At 33.5% G+C, this 3,285-nt stretch overlaps 1 annotated feature.

The window, feature by feature from the left end:
- Window positions 2,681-2,975: an enhancer, noted in NCBI's record as "tiled region #7395; K562 Activating DNase unmatched - State 12:CtcfO". NCBI's record gives its function as "activates a minimal TATA promoter and a strong SV40 promoter by Sharpr-MPRA in K562 cells {active_cell/tissue: K562}" and the evidence as "EXISTENCE:reporter gene assay evidence [ECO:0000049][PMID:27701403]".

A 3,285-nucleotide genomic window follows, 5' to 3' on the forward strand; every position in this document is an offset into this window, starting at 1 on the left:
TTATTGTTTTGAAGTATGTTCCTTCTAAACCCAGTTTGTTGAGAGTTTTTTTTTTTAATCATAAAGGGATGTTGAATTTTGTTGAATGTTTTTTCAACATCTATTACAATGATCATATGGTCTTTGTCCTTTATCCTCTTAATGTGATGTACTGCATTTATTGATTGACATATGTTGAATCATCCTTGCAATCCTGGGATGAACCTCACTTGATCATGGTGGATGATCTTTTTAAAGTGTTGTTGTATTCTGTTATTTTGTTGAGGATTTTTGCATCTATTTTTATCAGGGATATTGGCCTGCAGATTTCTTTTTTAGTGTTGCTCTTATCTGTCTAGTTTTGGTATCAGTGTAACACTGGCTTCATAGAATGAGTTTGGAAGTACTCCTTCCTCTTTAATGTTTTGGAGTAGTTTGAGTAGAATTAGTATTCGTTCTTCTTTAAATGTTAGGTAGAATTCAGCAGTGAAGCTATCTGGGCCCAGGCTTTTCTTTGATTTTCTATTTCTTCATAGTTCAATCTTGGTTGCTTGTATGTGTCCAGTAATTTATCCATTTCTTCTAGGTTTTTCAATTTGTTGGCATATAGTCATTCATAATTGTCTCTAATGATCCTTTGTATTTCTGTGGCATCAATTTTTATGGCTTCTTTCTTGTTTCTGATTACTCGGATTTTCTCTTTTTTTTTTCTATTTAGCAAAAGCTTTGTCTATTTTATCTTTTCAAAAAAACCAGCTTTTTGTTTTGTTGATTTTTCTAATATTTTTTAGTCTCAATTTTATTTCTACTCTGATTTTTAATATTTATTTCCTTCTACTAATTTTGTGTTTGGTTTGTTCTTGCTTTTCTTGTTTCTTGAGGTGCATCATTAGGCTGTTTATTTGAAAGCTTTCCACTCTTTTGATGCAGGTGCTTGTTGCTGTAAACTTTCCTGTTAGTATTGCATTTGCTGTATCCTGTAGATTTTGATATGTTGCATTTCCATTTGCATTTGTTTCAAGAAATTTTGAAATTTCCTTCTTAATTTGTTCATTGACTCACTGGTCATTCAGAAGCATGTTATTTAATTTCCATATGTTTGTATATTTTCCACAGTTCCTCTTGTTACTAAGTTCTAGTTTTATTCCACTGGGGTCAGAAAAAATACTTGATATGATTTTGATTCTTTTGAATTTGTTAAGACTTGTTTTGTAGCCTCATAGATGGCCTATTCTAGAGAATATTCCATGTGCTGATGAGAAGAATGTGTATTCTGTAACAGTTAGATGAAATGTTCTGTAAATGTCAGTTAGGTCCATTTAGTCTAGAATGTAGTGTAACTCCAGTGTTTCTTTACTGATTTTCTGTATGGATGATTTGTTCATTCCTGAGAGTGAGGTGTTGAAGTCCCCTACTATTATTGTATTATAGTCTTATCTCTCCCTTTAGATCTATTAATGCTTGTTTTATATATTTGGGGGCTCCTGTGTTGGGTACATATATATTTACTGAATCTTCTTGCTGAATTGATCCTTTTATCACTATATATACCCTGTTTATTTTACTGTCTTTGACTTGAAATCTATTTTAACTAATATAAGTATAGCTACTTCTGCTTAGCTACTTCTGCTCTTTTATGGTTTCCATAGAATATCTTTTTTTCAACTCTTTCAACTCTAACAATATTACAGTATCCCAAATTTGTCTATATACTGACTTTTACCAGTGAATTTTATACTTTCAAATGTTTTCTTTTTGCATATTAGGATCACTTTCTGTTATATTGAAAACTCCTCTTAGCACTTCTTGTAAGATAGGTCTAGTGGTGATAAATTCTCTCAGCTTTTGCTTATCTAGGAAAGACTTTCTTCTTTATGTTTGAAGGAAAACTTTGCTGGGTACGGTGCTCTCAGTTGACAGTTTTTTTTTCTTCAGGACGTTGAATATGTCATCCACTCCCTCCTGACTTGTATGGTTTCCGCTGAGAAATCTGTTGCTAGATGAATCAGAGCTCCTTTACGTGTTATTTGCTTCTTTTCTCTTGCTGCTCTTAGGATCTTCTCTTTGTCCTTGATGTTTGAGAGTTTGAATGTTATATGCCTTGGGGCAGTCTTATTTGGATTGAATCTGTTTGGTGATCACTGAACTTCTTGTACCTGGATATTTGTGTCCTTCTCTAGGTTTGGAAAGTTTTCTGTTATTATTATTACTTTGAATATGCTTTCTACACCTTGCTCCTTCTCAACTCCCTCTCGAACACCAACTCCTAGACTTGCTCTTTTGAGGTTATTTTGTATATCCTGTAGGTATTCATCATTCTTTTTCACTCTTTTTTCTTTTTTCTCCTCTGACTGTGTATTTTCAAATAGTCCATCTTTAAGCTTCCTGATTCTTTTTTTTGGCTCAATTCATTCTGCTGTTGAGAGCCTCTATTGTATTTTTTCAGCTCAGCAAATGTATTTATCAGTTCCAGGATTTCCATTTGATTGTTTTTATTAGTTCTATCTCCGCTATATTTTTCTGATAAATTTGTGAATTGCTTTTTCATGTTACCCTGGAGTTTTCTGAGTTTCCTTGAAACTGCTATTTTTAATGCTTGATCTGAGAGCTCACACTTTGCCATTATGGTAGGGTTGATCACTGCCTCCTTGCTTTGTTGACTTGGGGAGGTCATAGTTTCGTTTGCTGTTGTTTCTTGTGGATGTACATCTATGGCTTCATAGGATTAGTTCCTATGCTTCAAGGATTAGTTACTTGTACCTATCTTCACTTCATCTCTTGTTTTGGCCTTTCTAGGTTATGTTTCCTAAGAGGTCTTTTACAATTGTTTGTTGAATCCCTTTACTCCTAGATTGCTGCCTCATTTTCAGCACTAGATGGCGCCTTAAGCCCAGGGTTGTCTTGACTCTCACAAACGTTCATTATTCTAATTTCATTCTTCCACATGTCAGTATACAACTTTTCTAGCATCAGTTATTGAAGGGACTGTCTTTTCCTCATTTTGTATTACTGGCATCTTTACCAAAAGTCTGTTAACCATAAATGCATTGATTTTTTTTTTTTTTTTTGCTCTCTATTCTGTTCCATTAGTAGATGTGTTTTTAATGCCATTTCATAATGTTTGAATTATTACAGCTTTGTAATATAGTTTGAAATCAGGGGGTGTGATGTCTTCAGTTTGTTCTCCTTTCTCAAAATTGCTTTGGCCATTATGGGTCTTCTGTGGTTGCAAAGTTTAGTATTGTTTTTTTCTGGTCCTGTGAAAAAAGTCATTGAATTTTTAATAGGGATTGCATTGAATCTGTA

This window comes from Homo sapiens, chromosome 17 (genome assembly GCF_000001405.40).
Source record: "Homo sapiens chromosome 17, GRCh38.p14 Primary Assembly".
NCBI classification, from domain to species: Eukaryota; Metazoa; Chordata; class Mammalia; order Primates; family Hominidae; genus Homo; species Homo sapiens.